The following is a 24,476-nucleotide window of genomic DNA, read 5'->3' on the forward strand; positions in this document are numbered from 1 at the left end:
GGACTTCAATACTCCACTGACAACACTAGACAGGTCATCAAAACCAAAAATCAACAAAGAAACAATGGATTTAAACTATACCTTGAAACAAATGGACTTAACAGATATATACAGAACATTTCATCCAACAACTGCCGAATACACACTCTATTCAACAGTGCATGGAACTTTCTCCAAGATAGACCATATGATAGGCCATAAAATGAGCTTCAATAAATTTAAGAAAACTGAAATTATATCAAGCACTCTCTCAGACCACAGTGAAATAAAACTGGAAATCAACTCCAGAAGGAACCTTCAAAACCACGCAAATACACGAAAATTAAATAACCTGCTCCTGAATGAGCATTGGGTCAAAAATGAAATCAAGATGGAAATTTAAAAATTCTTCGAACTGAATGACAGTAATGACACAACCTATCGAACCTCTGGGATACAGCAAAGGTGGTGCTAAGAGGAAAGTTCACAGCCCTAAACACCTACAACAAAAATCTGAAAGAGTGCAAACAGACAATCTAAGGTCACACCTCAAGGAACTAGAGAAACAAGAACAAACTGAACCGAAATCCATCAGTAGAAAGGAAATAGCCAAGATCAGAGCACAATACAATTGAAACAACAACAACAAAAATGCAAAAGATAAATGAAACAAAAACTAGTTCTTTGAAAAGGTAAATAAAATTGAAAGACCATTAGTGAGATTAACCAAGAAAAGAAGAGAGAAAATCCAAATAACCTAATTAAGAAATGAAATGGGAGATATTACAACTGACACCACAGAAATACAGAAGATCATTCAAGGCTATTGTGAACCCCTTTATGCACATAAACTAGAAAACCTAGAAGAGATGGATAAATTTCTGGAAAAATACAACCCACCCAGCTTAAATCAGGAAAAATTAGATACCCTAAACAGACCAATAAGAAGCAGCGAGATTGAAATGGCAATTTAAAAATTACCAACAAGGGCTGAGCGCAGTGGCTCAGTGGCTCATGCCTGTAATCCCAGCACTTTGGGAGGCTGAAGCCAGTGGATCATGAGGTCAAGAGTTCACGACCCGCCTGGCCAAGACAGTGAAAACCCGTCTCTACTAAAAATACAAAAATCAGCCAGGTATGGTGGCAGGCGCCTATAATCCCAGCTACTTGGGAGGCTGAGGTGGGAGATTTGCTTGAGTCTGGGTGGCAGAGGTTGCAGTGAGCAGAGATTGTGCCATTGCACTCCAGCCTGGGTGACAAACTGAGACTCCGCCTAAAAAAAAAATAAATAAATAAAAGAAAAATTACCGACAAAACAAAGTCCAGGCCCAGATGGATTAACAGCAGAATTCTACCAGACATTCAAAAAAGAATTGGTACCAATCCTATTGACACTATCCACAAGATAGAGAAAGAAGGAATCCTCCCTAATTCATTCTGTGAAGCCAGCATCACCCTAACACCAAAACCAGGAAAGGACATAACCAAAAAAGAAAACTACAGACCTATATCCTTGCTGAACATAGATGCCAAAATCCTTAAAAAAAAAAAAAAAAAAAACTAGCTAACCAAATTCAACAACATATCAAAAGGATAATCCACCTTGATCAAGTGAGTTTCATACCAGGGATGCAGGGATGGTTTAACATACACAAGCCGATAAATGTGATACACCACATAAACAGAATTAAAAACAAAAATCACATGATCATCTCAATTGATACAAAAAAAAATTCAACAAAATCCAACATCCCTTTATGATTAAAACTCAGCAAAATTGGCACACAAGGGACATACCTTAATGTAATAAAAACCATCTATGACAAACCCACAGCCAACACAATACTGAATGGGGAAAAGATGAAAGCATTCCCTCTTAGAACTAGGGCAAAACAAGAATGCCCACTCTCACCACTCCTCTTCAATGTAGTACTGGAAGTCCTAGCCAAAGCAATCAGACAAGAGAAAGAAATAAAGGGCATCTAAATCAGTAAAGAGGAAGTCAAACTGTCACTGTTTGCTGATGATGACTGTTTACCTTGAAAACCCTAAGGACTCCTCTAGAAAGCTCCTAGAACTGATAAAAGAATTCAGCAAAGTTTCCGAATACAAGATTAATGTACACAAATCAGTAGCTCATCTATACACCAACAGCAACCAAGCAGAGAATCAAATCAAGAACTCAACCCCTTTTACAATAGCTGCAAAAAAAAAAAAAAAAATGAAATACTTAGGAATATCCTAACAAAGGAGTCTAAATTCCTCTAAAAGAAAAACTACAAAACACTGCTGAGATAAATCATAGATGACACAAACAAATGGAAACACATCCCATGCTCATGGATGGGTATAATCAATATTGTGAAAATTACCATACTGCCAAAAGCAATTTAGAAATTCAATGCAATACCCATCAGAATACCACCATCATTCTTTGCAGAATTAGAAAAAACAATCCTAAAATTCATATGGAACCAAAAAAGAGCCCACATAACCAAAGCAAGACTAAGCAAAAAGAACAAATCTGGAGGCATCACATACCTGATTTCCAACTATACTATAAAGCCATAGTCATCAAAACAGCATGCTACTGGTATAAAATACGCACATAGACCAATGGAACAGAATAAGCCCAAATACTTACAGCCAACTGATCTTCAACAAAGCAAACAAAAACATAAAGTGGGGAAAGGACACCCTTTTCAATAAATGGTGCTGGGATAATTGTCTAGCCACATGTAGGAGAATTAAACTGGATCCTCATCTTATACAAAAATCAACTCAAGATGGATTAAGGATTTAAACCTAAGACCTGAAACTAAAAATTCTAAAAGATAACATTGGAAAAATTCTTCTAGACATGAGCTCAGGCAAGGATTTCATGACCAAGAACCCAAAAAGAAATGCAATAAAAACAAAGATAAATAGCAAGCACCCAAAAGCAAATGCAATAAAAACAAAGATAAAAAGCAAATGCAATAAAAACAAAGATAATTAAACTAAAGAGCTTTTCCACAGCAAAAGGAACAGTCAGCAGAGTAAACAGATGACCCAGAGAGTGAGAGAAAACCTTCACAATCTATACTTCTGACAAAGAACTACTATCCAGAATCTACAACTAACTCAAACAAATTAGTAAGAAAAAAACAAACAACCCTATCAAAAAGTGGGCTAAGGACATGAATAGACAATTCTCAAAAGAAGATATACAAATGGCTAACAAACATATGAAAAAATGCTCAACATCACTAATAATCAGGGAAATGCAAATCAAAATGACAATGCGATACCACCTTAGTCCTGTAAGAATGGCCATAATCAAAAAAAATGGTAGATGTTGGCATGGATGTGGTGAACAGAGAACGCTTCTACCCTGCTAGTGGGAATGTAAACTAGTACAGCCACTATAGAAAACAGTGTGAAGATTCCTTAAAGAACTAAAAGTAGAGCCATCATTTGATCCAGCAATCCCACTACTGGATATCTGCCCAGAGGAAAAGAAGTCATTATTCGAAAAAGATACTTGCACATGTATGTTTATAGCAGCACAATTCACAATTACAAAATCGTGGAACCAACCCAAATGCCCATCAATCAATGAGTGGATAAAGAAACCGTGGTGTATATATATATATATGCACTATGGAATACTACATAGCCATAAAAAGGAATGAATTAACACATTTGCAGTGACCTGGATGAGATTGGAGACTATTATTCTAAGTGACGTAACTCAGGAATGAAAAACCAAACATCATATGTTCTCACTGATATGTGGGAAGCTAAGCTATGAGGACGCAAAGACATAAGAATGACACAATGGACTTTGGGGACTTGGAGGGAAGAATGAGAGGGGGCGAGGGGTAAAAGACTACAAATATGATGCACTGTATACTGCTTGGGTGTTGGCTGCACCATAATCTCACAAATCACCACTAAAGAACTTACTCATATAATCAAACACTACCTGTACCCCAATAACTTATGGAAAAAAAAAATAAAATAAAACCTTTTGTTCTTTCCTTTATCTAAAACTTTGGACGTAAAATATTATATCCCACCATATTACCATGGTAGAGCTTAGTAAATTTTGACTTGTGTGAAACAGAACTTTGTCTAGTCCTGAGTTGACCAATTGTCTCTTTCATGATCATGCTACTCTAGTGGTTTGAACTATGTAAACTTTCTAGTCATCTGTATATACAATGTGTCACATAATTATGTATTATTGGACTACATGGGTCTCCAGGGAACCCTCAGTTTCTACTTTGACAGGGGTGAGAATCAGGAAGACCTCGAATCCCTGGATGTATGTTGTATGAAAGGGAACTGTCTTCAACACTTCTAACCAATGCTAACATGATAACATCACATGGTTTCAGTCCAGGCTATGTAAAAACACAGAAAAGATGTGATAACTAATATTACATCTAGTTCTTTGACCTGTATTTTTTGAGATTTTGCTATATGAAAAGCAGTGTAATAAAAACGGGGCAATGAAATAAATTTAAATCCTTGTCTTCACTCACAAGCAGTTACTACCTAGCCGAGACAAGGAAAGAAAACCAATCCAGATAGCTTTTTGCCCAAATGATCCATGTAATCGAAATACCTAAAGACCTATCTATCATGTATAAGAAATTTCACTGGAGTATCATTAGCAATAACAAAGTCTGGAAACAATTTAACCATCTAACATCGTGAGATAAATTAAATAAACTGGTATATCCATTGAACTATCCAGTCATCTAATAGAATGAGGTAAATCTCTGTGTGGTGATATGGAAAGTATTCCAAGAATGTTTTTTAAGAAAAAGAGGCCAGGTGTATGTCTTTTGGCCTCTTATTCTTAAAAAAACATGTAAAATGTAAAATGTTAAAAATGTAAAATGATTTTTACCTTCTTAGGATACTTTAAAAGCTCAAAATCACTAATCACTAGAGAAATGCAAATTAAAACCACGATAAGATACCATCTCACATAAGTTAGAATGGCTATTACTGAAAAGTAAAAAAAAAAAAAGAAGAAGAAACTGATGCAGGTGAGGATGTGGAGAAAAGGGAATGCTTATACACTGCCGGTGGGAATGTAAATTAGTTCAGCCATTGTGGAAAGCAGTTTGGCTATTGCTCAAAGAACTTAAAAAAAAAATTACTATTTGATCCAGCAATCTCATTATATTGGATATATACCCAAAGGAATATAAATTGTTCTACCATAAAGACACATGGACACGTATGTTTATCACAGCACTATTCACAAAAGCAAAGACATGGAACTAACCTAAACACCCATCCACAGTGACTGGATAAAGAAAACGTGGTACATATACACCATGGAATACTATGAAACCATAAAAAGGAATGAGATAATATTCTTTGCAGCAGCATGGATGGAACTGGAGACCATTATCCTAAGCAAACTCACACAGGAATAGAAAACCATCTACAGCATGTTCTCACTATTAAGTGGGAACTAAACATCGAGTACATATGGACACAAAGACAAGAACAACAAACACTGAGGCCTACTGAAGGTTGAGAGGAGGGTAAAGATTAAAAAAAAAAAAAAAAAAAAACCCTACCTGTCAGGCACTGTTGATTACCTGGGTGACAAAATAATCTGTACACCAAAATCCCCACAGCACATAATTTACCTATATAACAAATTTGCACATGTACCCCTGAACCTAAAATAGTGAAAAAAAAGAAAAAGAAATCATGGACAGAATAGTGTGTATAATATGCCCCCAACTGTAATAAAAAGGGTATATATTCATGGTACATATGTATGCTTATATATATCCACAGAAAATTTCTGGTAGGGTACGTAATTAACTCTTAAAAGTTATCACCTCATGTAGGTAACAAGGCTTAGACATGCCCACCTCCAGAGTATGATCACAGCCAATGTTGAAGAAAATATGTTTCACGTAGGAAAAATGGTTTAATCCTGTTTTCCAAATGCCAAAGTTTGGGATTAAAGTTCATCTTTCTTTATGCCCTTTTCAGGTATTGTGGTCAATAAGCCCAAAGATGGAATGTCCTGGCCAGTGATTGTAGCAGCTTTACTCTTTTGCTGCATGATATTGTTTGGTCTTGGAGTGAGAAAATGGTGTCAGTACCAAAAAGAAATGTGAGTATAATACTAACATATGTAGGAACAGATTAATTTTTCATTATAAAATATTCATCAGTACAATATATTATTACTCTATGAAGTTCCTCCCATATTTTAATGGGGAAATAATGCTCACAGAAGCTCAGAGAGATTATATAGCTTTCCCAGCATTACATAGTTGGGATTAAATACACAACTCCTGACTCAGTATCCCTCTCTGCATTGGCCTAGTCAGGCTGTAACATTCGTCAGATAGAGCAAGTCCGTGGACATGAAATGAGAACTGAGCCTCACCTCTCCTCAAAACTAAAACTGATTTTTCTTTTAATCTTCATTATTTTTTCATTTTCATGCATCTTTGAACTGCCTAGGCTCCACTGGTCATAGATGCTCAAGTGTGAAATTGAGTGAGAAAGGTAATTTTAAGAGATTTCCAGCTGCTTTTTTTACCAGAGTGGGCTTTTACTGCCCTTTTCTTTTTTTCCCAAGCAGAAAAGAAAGTAAGCATTGGGTTACCCCATTTTTGTCTTATTGAAATATTTTCCAAAAGCCTTCTCCAATCGGCAGTCTGAAATGGTACATAAGGTTAAGCCTCATTTTTCTGACTTGCTATTTTGAGTCAGTCTGGGTTGGGCCATAACTGGAAGGGACCCCAGTACCCAGAACTGATCTTCCACTTGTCTTACTACTACTCTAAGATAACATTAACCATTGTGCCATATACTTTCCTACCTTTTGCAGAGTATCCTTGAAGACTCTGTAACCACATACAGGGAGTGGTGAACAAAACACTAAACCAGTAGTTAGAAATTCTGGATTATTTTCCAAGGACTACAATTTGGCCACCACATGACCTTGAGAAACTCATAATTCCCCAAAAAACAAAAGTAAAACAAAAGTGCATGTTTCGTAGAATTACCTATTAATACATATGAAGTCTCCATTAAAGCATCTAAAAATTGGGTAATAGGGATTAGAGAGCTTTATATTAAATGAACAAATGAAATCTGAAAATCTGAACTGATTTTTTAAATTGTTCTGTATTCAAATGTTTGTTTTATATGGAGATGAGAATCAATCTCTCTATCCTCCTTCCCCCACTACCCACTCTTTATCTCTCCTAAGATGCTATGGATTGCCAGGGCATAGAGGTGTTTGAGTGATGAACATAAAGATGTTCACAGATATATTTCTGTTGCCTGATATCAAGATAGCTAGAGCATTTGTATAGCTAAATTCCATACTAACTTGGCTCTTTAATGCATTTCGGAAAAAGAGATTACTTGTACTAACATAAAATAGTTCTTTGTACAAAGATGACTTTAAGAATGTTCACTGATTCAAACAAAAGGGATTTAGGCATTATCTAGCCAGTACTCGGGGATTGAGAAGAGCTTTACTTCCCATCTCTACCCTATCCCCGCAGTACATAGTGAGTGTTTGGGCAAAGGCTGGGGCTAGGGTTAGCAAAGAGGCTGTATGAAAAGCTTCAGTCTTAAATCCTAGGATTTTAAGATTTAGTCTCTGGAGGAATATTTTAATCCACATAAAAGAAACATTTCTTCTATTAGGAGGCAGTTGTCATGGAGAGTATCAGTTCTGGTGAAAAGACTTGAATTGTTGGTCTGGTTCTCTTGAGCAAGTTGTTTAAAACCTCTGAGCCTCAGTTTTATCTGTAGAATGGTGATGCATTTCCTGCACACAAAGTAAATAATGTTATGATACATTTCCTGCACACAAAGTAAATAATGTTATGATAAAAATGCTCAGTTTTATCTGTAGATGGTGAGGCAATTTCTACATACAAAGTAAATAATGTTATGATAAAAATTCTTTGCAAACTACAAAATACCGTATAGATCATGAGGTTCAAATGTGACTAACAGGCACAGGGTTATGCCAGCAAAAATGCTGAAAGAACTGGGAGAGTATGTCTCTTTCTCATCAATCTGTGTTCTCCTTTAAAGAAACAACACATGTCTGTGTGTGTGTGTGCATAAGACTCCCTCAATTCTTAGCATTGAAAGACCAATATTTTGTTCCTAGAATGGAAAGACCTCCACCTTTCAAGCCACCACCACCTCCCATCAAGTACACTTGCATTCAAGAGCCCAACGAAAGTGATCTGCCTTATCATGAGATGGAGACCCTCTAGTCTCGTGAGACTTTGCCCCATGGCAGAACTCTGCTGGAATCCTATTGAGAAGGTAGACATTGTGCTTTATTAATATAGTCGCTCTTCAGCCATGCCTTTGCTGCAGCTGAAATGGAAGTCAGAAGTGAGTGACCTGTTTTCCCAGCAACTCACCCTCTTCCATCTCCAAACGCCTGAAGCTTAACCAAGAGTGAGAGGATATGTCATGTTCACACTCAATGCAATTCGTAGTGGTTTTCTTGCTTATGTAAGAAGTACATATTAGTCTGCCATCTTTAAAAAAAAATACAGTATTTTCATTTAAATTCTCTGATGGAGGGACAACAATGGTTTCAACTGTATGCCCATGCCTGATCCTCTTATTTGAACATCTATCAACATTGTAAACTCTTTGCCAAAATCCTGGGGCTTTGCTGCATTCCCTAAGATAATTACAGGAAAAAGAAAATGTAAAAGTGCTAACAAGGCTGCCAAGTAATGGAGAAGTATGGTTAGTCTTCATATTGAAATTCTGTTGCTTATTTTCATGGAAGGAAACAGAATACTTTGCACAGGAACCACATTTTCAATCCTCCTTCACTGTCTTCCTACCATGTTCAGCCCAGACTCCTGCCACATGGACCAGGATGAAGAGGGATCAAAGAGATAATTAGCCAAAAACCCAGTAGCCTAGAAGATACAAAACTCCACTGGCCTCTAAAATTATATTAGCCAAGAGTGGTTTCATTTGAGTGCCTTCGTGTGTATGTCCATCAAACTGGAACCAAACTGTTTTGTAAGTAAACAGGCAGCCTAAGCCCAACCCTACTTTCTAATTCCAGTTATTCTCTTTTTCATCTGGGGATTTACCTGTTCATTTAATCTGCCTGTTTTGATCTGTTTTGAAAAAGATAAAGAGCCTCAAATCAGACCAGCACTGATTAATTAACCCTGCTCCTACCAATCTTTTTTAAAGCAGTTGAAGCAGAATGTATAGGTGTCAGAGAAGAAACCTAGTCAGCCAGACGTGCTCTGTATTCAGCAATAGTTTGTGAATGAATAAATTACTAATCCTCCTTGTCGCTTGAAACCTTCCCACACTCCCTGCTCCAGGAGGGAAAAACAGATGTTGTTGACAGATAGAGTGATAGGCAAATTCTGTGTGGACTTTAGTCCCAAAAGGAAACTTTAGTTCACTTGCAGTATGCTTATCCTTGACTGCACATGAGAATGCCTTGTGCAGAGTTATTTGGAGATTATGTCTTTTTCTTAAACACCATGGCTGTCACACTTCAGTTCAATTAAATCAGAATGTCTGAGGAGTGAGACACAGGCATCAACACTCTCAAATGATTCACATGTTCAGCCAAAGTTGAGAACCATCGAGCCTGTGGAAGTTCTTTCTCATGGCTCAGAATCTTAGGTAGGTGCTTAACTCTTGTGGTGGCCAGCCTCCAAGATGAGCCCCAGTGTTCTTGCCTCCTACTATTCACATCTTTATGTGGTCCCCTCCAATGCTGAATACAGATGATTTGTGTAACCTGAGGCCAGGATTAAGGGGAGGCAATCAATGCACCTAGGGAAAAAATTTAAGGAGGTATTCACACTCAGGGTCATGCACTTGCACAATGTTGAGAATGAGTACCACTCTCACCATTGGTATAGCCAAAAAAGCTTGGAAGTGACCAAGGCTAGGTCACAAAATACACTGTGGCTTCTTCTTTGATCTCTCTTTGACCATACTGACACTGGGAAAAGCCCATTCCCATGCCATGAAGACACCAAGGCAGCCCTATTGAGAAATCTACCTGTCGTGGCCGGGCGCAGTGGCTCACGCCTGTAATCCCAGCACTTTGGGAGGCCGAGGTGGGTGGATCACGAGGTCAGGAGATCGAGACCATCCTGGCTAACACAGTGAAACCCCGTCTCTACTAAAAATACAAAAAATTAGCCGGGTGTGGTGTCGGGCACCTGTAGTCCCAGCTACTCAGGAGGCTGAGGCAGGAGAAGGGTGGGAACCCGGGAGGCAGAGCTTGCAGTGAGCCGAGATTGTGCCACTGCACACTCCAATCTGGGTGAAAGACCGAGACTCCGCCTCAAAAAAAAAAAAAAAAGAAAGAAAGAAAGAAAGAAAGAAATCTACCTGTCAAGGAACTAAGGTATTTTGCTAACAAGCACCAACTTGCCAGCCATGTAAGGGAGCCATCTTGGAAGCAGATCCTCCAGCCTCCAGTCAAGTCTTCAGATAATTGCAACTTCAGTTGATCTTTTGACCAAGACCTCAAGAGAGCCAGAACTACCCAGCTAAGCCTTTTACTAAATTTCTGAACTTCTAACACTATTAGATAATAAGTGCTTATTGTTTAACACCATTAATTTTGAGTATAATTTGTTACATAGCGACAGATAACTATACAGCTCAACAACTAGAAAAATAAACTGTTTACCTGCCTTAATTATTTATCTTTAGTTCCTTATTAGTTCTCAAGAAACAAATGCTAGCTTCATATGTATGGCTGTTGCTTTGCTTCATGTGTATGGCTATTTGTATTTAACAAGACTTAATCATCAGTAATTTGTATACAAAGCATTGTGGTTTTATTTTACTGTTTTACTATAATATATGAATACAAGCAGAAAGTGGGGGTAGGGAGTGGCAGAGTTAGGAGTAGAGAGTGGCAGAGTTGGAGGTATTTGGATTGTTTCACTAAAGGGAGAGACAGTTTTACAGTATAACATAAATTCATGTAATTTATCAATCTATCAGATGACAGGTGTCTCTCTGTGTTTTTATATTAGCTCTTCTTTGAAGTACACTCTTTTAGTATCGTAATTAAGTTCTGGTCAGCATTTGCACATTCATTACCACTTGAATAGAGTGAGCGGTTGCTTATCAATGGAGGGATCTTCAGTGAGTAGTTCAGAGGAACTTTTCACAAACCTGCAAATTAGAGGGGCTCCAGTTGCCTTTTAGTTAGTACTGTGAGCTTGACCACCCTTATTTGACTAAAATGACAGTTTCATTTGAGCCTTAAATTGTGTGCGAGTAAATTCATAGAGTCTGACTCAACCAGCAACTCCTGTCTCTGTTAGTGAATTTAGCTCTGTCTCATAGGAGAAATAGCAATACTAGATCCTAATCCCTAAAGTTTCATTTTCACTGAGAAAAAGCCATATGTACGCATGTTTGTCACTCATTTCCAAAGCACTATGTGTTAGTTAACATTGTTATTCATATGTTCGTTTCCTTACCCACCTGCACCAGGAGAACTCCTCAGCTTGATAACATGATTTGTTTTGCAATGGAATATCATGGGCACGACTAACCCAAGGCTTGAAAAGTACTTCTATGATTGGATTCACTCTCTTCTTTTCTACCATCACCATGAGAAGATCGTTTTCAGACTAGCCTACTGTGCCAAGAAGAAAAAGAAAGGCTCATGGAGCAGTACCACCCAAGGCTGGTCCAGTCCAGATCAGCAAAACTCACAGCCTACCTCAACAGGCACATAAGTTAGATATTATTGCATGCCACTGAAATTGTGTGGTTATTACACAACATTGTAGCAATAGTTAACCTACACATATAGATCCAGAGGTAGGCATATTTTAGCTCATACGTAAGTGCCTAATGCGTGCTTTATTTTTTTAAAAAAATAGTATTTTCTATTTTCTTTGGTTCAGCATGAGTTTTGTTTTAACAAGAAGATATGGTTGACTTCCCCAAAATAACTTTGCATTTATAGATCTTTAAAAATCATAGAACATTTGACCAGGATGGGTTTTAGAGGTCGTTTTACAAAATGAGTTAAGGGTTCTGTGAAATTGACTTGTCCAAGGTCACACAATTAGAAATGGTAAAACCAACGTGATGACCCAGCTCTCTGATTTCTAGCCTAGAGTGTAATCAATATTTAATTGCTTTGGTATCTCCTTTTACTATAGACAAGAGCTGCTGCTTTGTGTGCTTTTAGGTCAATATTTTTTTTTTACACTTGATCTTAGCCAAAAGGCTGAGAAGCGATAATTTTTTTTTTTTATGCCTTGGTAGTATATGCTAAAAATTGTAACAGAAAACAATGAAAAGTAGAAATAATTAACCCTGGGGGATGGGAAGCTCTAAAAAATGTCAAAGAAAATGAGGAAATGAAAGAGAAAAGAGATTAATCAAGATCAGAAGTTGAAAAGAAAGTTTAGAGAAACTTACTAAGGCCAGAGATAATGAAAAATGTCTCAGAGGCTCTGAACAGGGGAAGAGGTCCTTAAAGGTAGCCCTCTTGGCACCCAGACTTAGGAGGGTGGCTTTGAACCTGAAGGTTGAATCTTCAGAAATATAGAAACTTTGTTCTCTCTGAGACGAGGGCTGAAATGCATAGCCTAACCGACTGTTTGACAACAGCAATCATGGCTGTGTCAACCAGCTAAAGGATGGGTGTCCACATTAACTGGCAGAAACACATAGTGAGAATTGGGGAATCAAGGCAGTTATTTCCCAGCTCCTGCAAAGGTACCTTTTTCCTGGATTTCCTCGATTACTAACAAAGGCACCATGCTCCAGCCAGGAAGGCATGACCAGAAAGCAGGATACTATGACCTTAAGCTAGGTCAGGGCCAGGGAACACTTTTGGAATTATTGTTAAAGCTTGAATGGTGCATCTGTGATGGGTCTTGATATTTTGTGGGTGCAAATAACACAGAAATGGGAACAATAGAATCTAAATTTTTCTCCTCAGACAGCATCTTTGTATCCTCCAATCTCTGTTATCCAAATCTCCAAACTCTTTCCTGTTCTGCACACTCAGGTTCCTCATATTTGTTCAAAGACTGTGGCATTGTGATTGTGGGGAGGGACACTGGGGGGAATAATAGGGAAGAGCAACAAACCCAATATCACAACATAAAGAAGAGAGCATGGCTGGGGCCATATCCAGCTACCCTGGGTGAATGCCACAAACTTATGCACATTTGCCCTGAGTTTTGTCAGACTATACCCCATTTACTGTCCAAAGAAGATATATCACCAAATAAAATTGGCTACAGCATTATGCCATTCAACTATCACCAGAAAGTACTTAAAAGTGCCAAGAAGGTAGGCTGGAGGGGATAGAACAACAGTTACATGAATCCTGCAGAGAAGTTTGATAGTGGACCTCATATCCTGAGAGCCATGTATAAGAGTTAACCTCTCTATTCTGCATTTTCTCTCTTCAAAGCTTAAATATCTGTTAAGGCTGAATGGGAAGATGATCAGGGATCTGAGAATTCCATCTATGGTAGAATCATTTTTGCATCACTGGTTTGAGATAAGCCTAATTCCACTCTTACAGATAATTGGGTTGCATTGGATTTTTCTTATACATAAAGCCATTGCACTGATTCAAAGGGACATGCTTTGGTGACTAACGAATCTGAAATCTAACACAGTAATAAATAAGAATTGATTTTAATTTTGTGGCTAGTTACTAGAAAAGTCTGACAAGCACTTTTCCTGAATACCTCTTTTCGATGGCCAGTTTAGGGTTTGTAGATTCCACACTCATGAAATTGATATTAAAAAAATCTAAGAACTACTTATTGCCTTCAGTGAATGTAAAATTTAATGGAAGAGAGAGACATTTAAACAAATATATACAGTACAGTGTTACAGATATAAAAATTAAGTTATGCGCAAAGAAGAGAAAATAATAAAGAAAAAGGTATGATTTCAGGGACAACATATGAGAAATACTTTTAAAGGCTTCAGAAAGGAGGCTGTCAATAGAGGCAAGGCCACTGCAGTAGAGACCCTGATATCTGAGACATAGTGATGGGACTTGAAAACATTACCTAAGGGTTATACCAAGAATGTAAGAAGCATCTGATGATAGAAAATTGCTTAATATAATTTACCATATAAATAGAACTAAGGAGAAAAAGGATAGGAATAATCTCCATAGCTGTTTAAAAAATCTTTGGCAAAATTCAACACCCATTCCTACTAAAAACTCTTGAGAAAAAGGGATATTTTCTTAACTACATATATACATAATACATGCATGCAAATCTATCTACAGCTGTATTTGTAGATACATATATATGTACAGTTATAGTATATAAATACTATATATAGTTTTATATATATGTATGCATATATACATATACTATTCTCTATGGTATACATCTATATAACTGCAATTGTATGAATATATATGCAATGAAAGAAAAGATGGATAAATTTAGCTACTTAAGAATAAAAATATTCATGAGAGAGAAAGCAAAGTCAAAGGACAAATAATAAAGTAAGTGAAAATATTTACAACATATATCACAGATGATATATCAATATACATACCTTTATCAATATACTTAGTTGATAAAGAACTTACAAATATTGAGGATAAAAAACTGAAAAATCCTATGAAAAATGGGCTAAAGCCATGAACAAATAATTCACACACAAAAATTAAAATGACTCTTAATCATTTGAAAAACATGAAATGTATTCATAATAAAAGAAATCAAAATTTAAAAATGTACTGAGACATCAGTTCTTCTCCATTTAGTTGTCATGAATTTCAAGTTTGACAATATTGTCCGTTATCAAGGCTTTGGGGAAAACATGCACACTCATATACTGCTGAAGGGAGTGCAAAATGGTGCCACCAATATTGAGAAGAATATGATGATATCTAACAAAACTATATATTAATTTATTCATTGACATTGTAATTCATCTTCAGGAATTCACCATGAAACTCAGCCTCCAACAATATCAGAATATATATGCACAAGATTATTTTGGTATCATTATGTGTATTCACAAAGTATTTGAAATTATCTAAATGTCCAATATAGGAGATTGGTTGAATAAAATGTAGTAAATACACAAAATAGAGTTAATGTGCAGTTGTAAAAACAAAAAAGAAGAAAATCTCTATCAACTGATATTGAGTGATTTCCAGAGATATTATTAAGGGAAAAAGGTGAAGTACAAAGAGCATGTAATATGCTACCTTTGTGTAAGAAAGAAGGAAAAATTAAAAAAATGAAATATGTATATGCCTATTTTTACAAAAAGGAACAGGAGAGATAAATCAAGAAATGCTGGAGTTGAGGGGTAAAGAAGGAAGAGTGTGACGGATATATGGAGAAGTGTCCTTTCCTGCATATACCTTTCTGTATAATTTTGTCTGAAAAAAAGAATATTAGTATTCTATGTATTAAAATAATAAAATTAAATAAATAAGAACAGGAAAAAAAACTAAAACTGAAAGAAAACTATTTGTATTTTAAATAAATACCATAAGCACACTGAAAGAGAAAAAAGAAAGAAAAAACTAATCCAGGCCAGGTGGATTAGTTTTTAGGAAAAACTAATCCAATCCAGGCTCACACCTGTAATCCCAGCATTTTGGGAGGCCAAGGTGGGCAGATCACGAAGTCAGGAGTTTGAGACCAGCCTGGCCAACATGGTGAAACCCCATCTCTACTAAAAATACAAAAATTAGCCAGGCATGGTGGCATGTGCCTGTAGTCCCAGCTACTCAGGAGGCTGAGGCAGGAGAATCACTTGAACCCAGGAGGTGGAGGTTGTGGTGAGCTATCACACCGCTGCACTCCAGACTGGGCAACAGAGTAAGACTCCATTTCAAAAAAAAAAAAACCTAATTCAAGTAGCTAGGAACACAAAATTTGACTATATATTTGACTATATACCCCAGTCTCGTGTAGGGTGGGGTGGGGGTGGTGGGAACAAGGTGAGAATTGTAAGCAAATCTGGAAGGCTTGGTAGTAAGATTTTTTTATTGTAATGATATAAGCAAAGCAATTTTGAAACATTGTTCTGTATTATAAGATTATGTAAATGTGTTGTCATTGGGTGCCCAGGTTCTCATTGAGGGAAAAGGAACATATAAATATGGAATAAGGAAAGACTGGAAAGAACCCTGTGTAGATGCAGGGATGGAGTCAAATTGGCAGTATCAATGCAAACTCATGATTTCCACAATATGTGTGTGTATATGTGTGTGTGTGTGCATGTGTATGCGCATGAAGGTTAGTGTCCTTCCCAAGCATCACATCTGGAGACCCATGATGTCCACCTGTCCTTCACTGGTAATCTTAATCTTAATCACGTCTGTGTGTAAATGTGCTTGAGCATGCATATGTGTTTTGCATTGCAAATATGTATATGTGCCTATATTTCCCAGATGTGCCTTTTGAAAGGACTAAGAAAGAAAGATATCCCGGTAGCAAAGAGCATACCTAGCATCCGCATCTTGGTCTTCAGTATAATTTCCTGCTGAAAGGAACTGAACTCAGAGAAATGTCTAAGGACAAAGTAAACATAAGTGAACTTGAAATACTTTGTTAGGTCAGAAAATAAGAACATAGTCCAAAAACTGCTAGGGTATGTCAGAAGGATATAGGAGTCAGTTTGAAAGGACTCCCACTGTATACATCTAGGAAAATTTGACTATCGATATAGTTAAGTATATTAATGAGTTAGAAACCATTGAGAAAAGCAGGAATTCATGAGTCCTTACCAGTAGTAAGTGATAGCTATATAGATAGGTAGATAGGTAGTCAGAGAGAGACAGAGAGAGAAAGGAGGGCTCTCACCTATAGCAAAACTTCAAGAGCAGATTAAGAAATACGAAGGGAGTGCTGAAATTCAGAAGTTATCATTTTGTAATCAGCATAATAAAGATTGCATCAGGCTAGAATCATCAATGGATACTAAGTTGAGGAAATTTTGATGAAGATCAGGATATATGCATGGTCTCTAAGTGCCTCCCTGTAAAATCTTATTGGTTACACAGGAGAAACAGAAACAGTAACTATGCAGTGGAGAAATTAGACAAGAACTTGACCAAGTGATCAAAATTAATATCATCAGTGAGAGAGACAGGGATCTTGTGCTCCTCCAAATGTAATACTCTGGGAAGGATACAATATCACCTATGGAGTATTAGGGCAGAGAATAACCAAACTAAATCTAATCACAAAGTAGCATCAAATAAATACAAAATAAGATATATTCTATTGTGTCTGTGTTCATCAGGGATATTGGCCTGAAGTTCTCTTTTTTCATTGTGTCTCTGCCAGATTTTGGTATCAGTCTGATGCTGGCTTCAGAGAATGAGTTAGGGAAAAGCCCCTCCTCCTCAATTTTCTGGAATAGTTTCAGTAGGATCGTGTCAGTTCTTTGTACATCTGGTAGAATTTGGCTGTGAATCCATTGGGTCCAGGGCTTCTTTTGCTTTGTAGGTTCTTTGTTACTAATTCAATTTCAGAAGTTGATATTAGTCTATTCAAGATTTCAATTGCTTCCTGATTTAATCTTGGGAGATTGTGTGTTTCCAGAAATTTATCCATTTCCTCTAGATTTTCTAACTTCTGTGCATATAGTTGATCATAGTCCCTGAGGATCTTTTGTATTTACGTGGGATCAGTTGTAATATTGTTTCTGATTGTTCTTATTTGAATCTTCTCTTTCCTTTTCTTTGTTAATCTTGCTACCAGTCTATCAATCTCTTATTTTATTTTTTTGAAGAACCTACTTTTTGTTTCATGGATCTTTTGCATCTCAACTTCATTAAGCTCTTCTCTAATTTTAATTATTTTTTTACTTCTGTTAGCTTTGGGGTTGGTTTTCTATTCTTTTAGGTGCAGAATTAGACTGCTAATTTTTAGATGTTTCTAACTTCTTGATGAAAGCATTTAGGACTTTAAACTTTCCTCTTAACACTGCTTTGGCTGCATCCCAGAGATTTTGGTAACTTGTAAACCTATTTTCATTAGTTGCAAGGAATTTTTTTATTTTACCCAGTAGTTATTCAGGAGGAAGTTCTTTAATTTCCAAAAATATTAGCAAACCAAATCTAGCAGCACATCAAAAAGTTAACATACCATAATCAAGTAGGCTTTATTTCTGGGATGCAAGGCTGGTTTAACATATTCATACCAATAAATAGGATTCACCACATAAACAGAATTAAAAGCAAGAGACATATGATCATCTCAATAGATACAGAAAAAGCTTAAGATAAAATCCAACATTCTTTCATGAAAAAATTCCTCAACAGATTAGGCATCAAAGGAACATACATCAAAATAATAGGAGTTATACATGCCCAACCCACAGCCAACATCATACTGAATAGGCAAAAGCTCAAGCCATTCCCCTTGAGAACTGAAACAAGACAAGTATGTCCATTCTCACCACTCCTGTTATACATAGTGCTGGAAGTCCTAGCCAGAGCAATCAGGCAAGAGAAAGAAACAAAAGCCATCCCAATAGTGAAAGAAGTCAAACTATCTCTCTTCACTTATGGCATGACTCTGTATAGAAAATCCTAAAGACTCTGCCAGAAGGCTCCTACAACTCACAGACTAGTATAATTTCAGGTCACAGAATCAGTGTATAAATCAGTAGCATTTCTATGCACCAGAAACATCCAGGCTGCGAGTGAAATCAAGAACACAAACCCACTTACAATAGCTATGAAGAAAACAAAATACCTAGGAATACTGCTAACCAAGGAAGTGAACAATCTCTACAAGAAAAACTACAAAACACTGTTGAAAGAAATCAGAGATGACACAAATAAATGGAAAAACATGCCATGCTCATAGATTGGAATAATCAATATTTTTTAAATGGCCATACTAGCCAGAGAAATTTGCATATTCAATGCTATTTCTATCAAACTACCAAAGTTATTCTTCACAGAATTAGAAAAAAAAACTATTCTAACATCTATATGGAAGCAAAAACAAGGCTGAATAGCCAAAGCAATCCAAAACAAAAAGAACAAAGCTGGAGGCATCACACTACCCAACTTCAAATTATACTATAAAGCTACAGTAACCAAAGCAGCTTGGTTCTGGTACAAAAACAGACACATAAACCCGTGCAACAGAATAGAAAATTCATAAATAAGGCCATACATGTACAACTATCTGATCTTCAACAAGGCTGATACAAACAAGCAATGGGGAAAGAACTCCTAATTCAATAAATGGTGCTGGGATAACTGGCTAGCCATATGCAGAAGACCAAAGATGGACTCCTATCTTTCACCATATAAAAAAATTAACTCAAAATGGATCAAATATTTAAATGTACCTTAAACTATAAAATCCTAGAAGAAAATCTAGGAAATACTATTGATGACATTGGCCTTTCTACTAGTCCATTCTCACACCTATAGAGACATACCTGAAACTGGGTAATTTATGGAGAAAAGAGATTTAATTGACTCAGAGTTCCACAGGCTGTATGGAGGAATGGCTGGGGAAGCCTCAGGAAACTTAACAATCATGGCAGAAGGGTGAAGGGGAACCAAGCATGTCTTCACATGGCGGCAGGAGTGACAGAGTGAAGGGGAAAGTGCTACACACTTTTAAAAAACAACAAGATCTCATGAGAACTCACTCACTGTCCTGGGAACAGGAAGGGGGACACCCACTTCCATGATCCAGTCACCTCCCACCAAGCCCCTCTCCCAACACTGGAAATTACAATTCAACATGAGATTTAGATGGGGACACAGATCCAAACCATATCATTCCACTCGGGTCCTTCCCAAATATCATGTCCTTCTCACATTTCAAAATACAATCATGCCTTCCTAGCAGTCCCCAAAAGTCTTAACTCATTCCAACATTAAGTAAAAAGTCCAAGTCCAAAGTCTCATCTGAGACAAGGCGAGTCCCTTCTGCCTATGAGCCTGTAAAATAAAAAACAAGTTAGTTACTTCCAAGATACAATGAGGGTACAGATGTTGGGTAAATGCTCCCATTCTGAAAGGGAGAAATTGGCCAAAACAAAGGGGCTACAGGCCCCATGCAAGTCTGAACACCAGCAGGGCCATCATTAAATCTTAAAGCTCCAAAATAATCTCCTTTATGTCTCACATCCAGGTCACACTGATGCAAAGGGTGGGCTCCCAAGGCCTTGGAAAGCTCCGCCCCTGTGATTCTGCTGAGTACAGTCCTCTTGGCTGCTTTCACAGGCCATCATTGAGTGCCTGCAGTTTTTCTAGGTGCATGGTGAGGTTGTCAGTGGATCTACCATTCTGGGGCCTGGAGAACAGTAGCCCTCTTCTCACAGCTCCACTAGGCAGTGCCCCAGTGGGGACTATGTATGGGGGTTCCAAGCTCACATTTCCCCTTTGCCTTACCCTAGTAGAGGTTCTTCCTGAGGGCTCTGCCCCTGCAGCAGACTTCTACCTGGACATTCAGGCATTTTCGTACATTCTTTGAAATCTAGGGAGAGGTTCTCAAACCTTAACTCTTACCTTCTACGCACCTGCAGGTCCAAAACCACATGGAAGCTTCCAAGGCTTGGGCTTGCACCCTCTGAAGCAACAGCCTGAGCTGTAACTGAGCCCCTTTCAGGCACAGTTGGAGCTGGAGTGGCTGGGATGCAGGGCACCATGTACCAAGGCTGCACAGAGCAGTGGAGCCCTGGGCCTAGCCCAGGAAACCATTTTTCCCTCTTAGTCCTCCAGGCCTGTGATGAAAGGTGCTGCTGTGAAGGTCTCTGAAATGCCTTGGAGGCATTTTCCCCATTGTCTTGGCTATTAACATTCAGCTCTTCTTTACTTATGCAAACTTCTGCAGCAGCCTCGAAAGTCCCCCCAGAAAATGGATTTTTCTTTTCTACCACATGGTTGGGCTACAAATTTTCCAACCTTTTATGCTGTGCTTCCTTTTTAAATATAAGTTCTAGTTTCAGGTTATTTCTTTGTTTATGCAAATGAGCATAGGCTTTAAGAAGTCACCAATTTACTTGCTTTGCACTTAGAAATTTCTTCTCCCAGATATTCTAAATCATCTCTCTTAAGTTCAAAGTTCCATAGGTTTCTACAGCAGAGGCAAAATGCCACCAGTCTCTTTGCTAAAGCATAACAAAAGTTACCTTTACTCCAGTTCCCAATAAGTTCCACATCTCCATCTGAGACAACCACAGCCCGGGCTTCACTGTCTATATCACTATCCACATTTTGGTCCATTCAACAAGTTTCTAGGAAGTTCCAAACTTTCCCTCATCTTCCTGCCTTCTTCTGATCCCTGCAAACTGTTCCAACCTCTGCTCCTTACCCAGTTCCAATGTTGTGTCCACATTTTCAGGTATCTTTATAGCAATGCCCCACTTCTCTGGCACCAATTTTCTGTATTAGTCCATTCTCACACTGCTATAGAGACATACCTGAGACTGAGTAATTTATGGAGAAAAGAGGTTTAACTGACTCGCAATTCCACAGGCTATACAGGAAGCATGGCTTGGGAGACCTCAGAAAACTTACAAACATGGTGGAAGGGCAAAGGGGAAGTAAGCAGGAGAGAGAGAGAACAAAGGAGGAAGTCCTACACCCTTTCAAACAAAAAAGTGAGTAGTACTTTTTTGCTACACACTTTTAAACAAATCTGTGAGATCTCGTGAGAACTCACTCACTATCACAAGAGCAGCAAGGGGGAAATCTGCCCCCACGATTCAAGCACCTCCCACCAGATCTCTCTCCCAACACTGGGAATTACAATTCAACATGAGACTTGGGTGAGGACACAAAGCCAAACTGTAACAGCCTTGGCAAAGAATTTTTGGTTAAGTCCCCAAAAGCAATTGTAACAAAAACAAAAGTAGACAAGTGGGACCTAATTAAACTAAAAAGTTTCTGCACAGCAAAAGAAACAATCAACAGGCCTAATATCCAGAATTTAAAGGGAAGTTAAACAAATCAACAAGCAAAAAACAACTCCTTTTAAAAAAATGGACAAAGGATATGAACAGACATTTCTCAAAAGAAGAGATACAAGTGGCCAACAAACATGAAAAAATGTTCAACATCACTAATCATTAGAGAAACACAAACCAAAATCACAATGAGATACCATCTCCCGCCAGCCAGAATGGCCATTATTAAAAAGTCAAAAAACAGATGTTGGCAAGGTTGTGAAGAAAAGAAATGCTTATACACTTTTTTTTTTTTTTGAGATGGAGTCTCGCTCTGTTGCCCAGGCTGGAGTGCAGTAGTGCTATCTCTGCTCACTGCAAGCTCCACCTCCCGGGTTCACGCCATTCTCCTGCCTCAGCCTCCCGAGTAGCTGAGACTACAGGTGCCTGCCACCACACGCCCAGAAATTTTTTTGTATTTTTAGTAGAGATGGGGTTTCACCATGTTAGCCAGGATGCTCTCGATCTCCTGACCTCGTGATCTTCCTGCCTCAGCCTCCCAAAGTGATGGGGTTACAGGCTTGAGCCACTGCGCCCAGCCGCTTATACACTTCTGGTGGGAATGTAAGTTAGTCACCGTGGAAAGCAGTCTGCATATTTCTCAAAGAACTTAAAATAGTGCTACCATTCAACCTAGCAATCACATTATTGGGTGTATACCCAAAGGAAAATAAATTATACTACCAAAAAGACGTGCAAATGTATGCTCATCACTGTGCCCTTCACAGTATCAAAAATATAGAATCAACCCAGTTGTCCATCATTTGTGGACTGGAAAAAAAATGTGGTACATATACACTGTGGAATACTATGCAGCCATTAAAAAGAATGAAATCATGTCCTTTGCAGCAACGTGGATGTAGTTTGAGGCCAAAATCCTAAGTGAAGTAATGCAGGAACAGGAAAAAAAAATACCACGTGTTCTCACTTATAAGTGGGAGCTAAACATTTAGCACATCTGGACATAAATATGGAAACAATGGACAATGTGGACTACTAGAGCATAAAGGGAAGGAGGAAGGCATGGGTTGAAAAATAACCTATCAAGTACCATGCTCACTACCTAAATGAAAAGATCTGTACCCCAAACCTCAGCATCACACAATATCCTCATGCAACTTGTACATGTACCCCTGTATCTAAAATAAAAGTTGAAATTTTAAACAAAAAAAAGGTATATTAAAAAGGGAGAGAGGACTATATTTTTCAAAAATGTCAATATAAAGAAAGGCTCTGAAAATATTCTAGATTAAAGGAGGCTAAAGAGACATGACAATTGATTGCAATACCTAACTCTAGATTGAATCCTGTACTAGAAGGGGGGAAATGGTATGAAAGACATTTATTAGATCAACTGACAAAATTAGAATATGGACAGATGACTAGATAAAAGTATTTATAACTCCGATGTTGTTATGTAAGAGATATTTTTATTCTTAGGAAATACACAGTTATTATTTAGCAGTCAAAGGACTATGATATAAATAACTTAGCCTCAAAGGGTGTGTGTTCATGTGTGCATGCATATGTATATGCATACACTTATACATACATACATGCATGTATAGATATACATGTATATGCATACAGAGAGAGATGGAAGCAAATGACAAAGTAAAGGGGGTAAATTGTTAAAGACAGATGAATCTAGGTAGATGGAATAAGTGTGTGTGTGTGTGTGTGTGTATGTGTGTGTGTGTGTCTTTTAATATTTTTACTTTTGCAACTTTTTTTGAAGTTTGAAATTATTTCCAAGTAGAAAGTTTAAACAAAAAGTACTTGAGCAAGACCCTAATGAAAGATTCTTAATTTGACTCAAAACTACCCTATTTTTCCAAGACTGCAACCTTTTTACAGTATGACAAAATCCAAAATGCTGTTTCATTGGCGTGGGGGGCAGGATTCTTTCTCTTTTCTCTGAGCATTGTTTAATCTGAAAGTTCAGAAAGAAAATAAGCAAGGATTCATCCCATAAGTTCGCTGTTTTTATATCATTTCTGGGTCTTATTCTACCCTAGGTATTGGCTGGGATCCACCAAAACTTCAATCAATTTTCCTTTCTTAAGGAGATAATTGGAGCCCTTTGATTTTCCCAAAACTCCAGAGCAAACTTACCCTCTCACCGTTGAACCATTTCATATCAAAGAAAACTAAGCTGTGTTTCTCCAGACTCCACCCAAGAAAGAGACTTTCATTCCTCCCTCAAACCCTTGGGCAGTGTTTTTTGTTGCTACTTTAGTAGAAACTACGGAAACAATTCACAGTTTACAGCAGTCCCTGCAGCAAGATCCCACACATGTGGCAGAACTGGGCAGACTCCTGCTCATCATTCCTACTTGGGGCTCCCCACACAGGAGCGGGGGCAGGAAGAAGGCTCAGCAATCACTTCTACAGAACCTCCTCCTACAGGACTTTTACCCATCACCCCAAATTTTGGGTACACAGCTTGACCAATATTTATCTGTTCAATAAATACTATTTGAAGATACTCTCTGTCCTATCTACTGAGATGAAATTTT

General features: G+C 37.7%; 1 protein-coding gene across 15 annotated transcripts in view; it reads left to right on the forward strand.

The window, feature by feature from the left end:
- Positions 1–24,445, forward strand: part of CD96 (CD96 molecule) — a 123,800-nt gene extending 99,355 nt beyond the window's left edge. For 5 of the 15 annotated variants that reach the window (NM_198196.3, XM_006713469.4, NM_005816.5 and 2 more), the window contains 2 exons: positions 5,992–6,115; positions 8,147–10,821. In NM_198196.3, coding sequence (NP_937839.1) covers positions 5,992–6,115; positions 8,147–8,255 — 233 coding nt within the window. In that variant the 3' untranslated portion in view covers positions 8,256–10,821. Of the gene's footprint in view, positions 1–5,991; positions 6,116–8,146; positions 10,822–11,499; positions 19,053–21,487; positions 21,613–23,975 lie in introns of those variants that run through there. The other 10 variants (XR_241462.2, XR_007093307.1, XR_007093326.1 and 7 more) reach the window with 4 other exon arrangements.

Source organism: Homo sapiens, chromosome 3 (genome assembly GCF_000001405.40).
Source record: "Homo sapiens chromosome 3, GRCh38.p14 Primary Assembly".
Classification (NCBI taxonomy): Eukaryota; Metazoa; Chordata; class Mammalia; order Primates; family Hominidae; genus Homo; species Homo sapiens.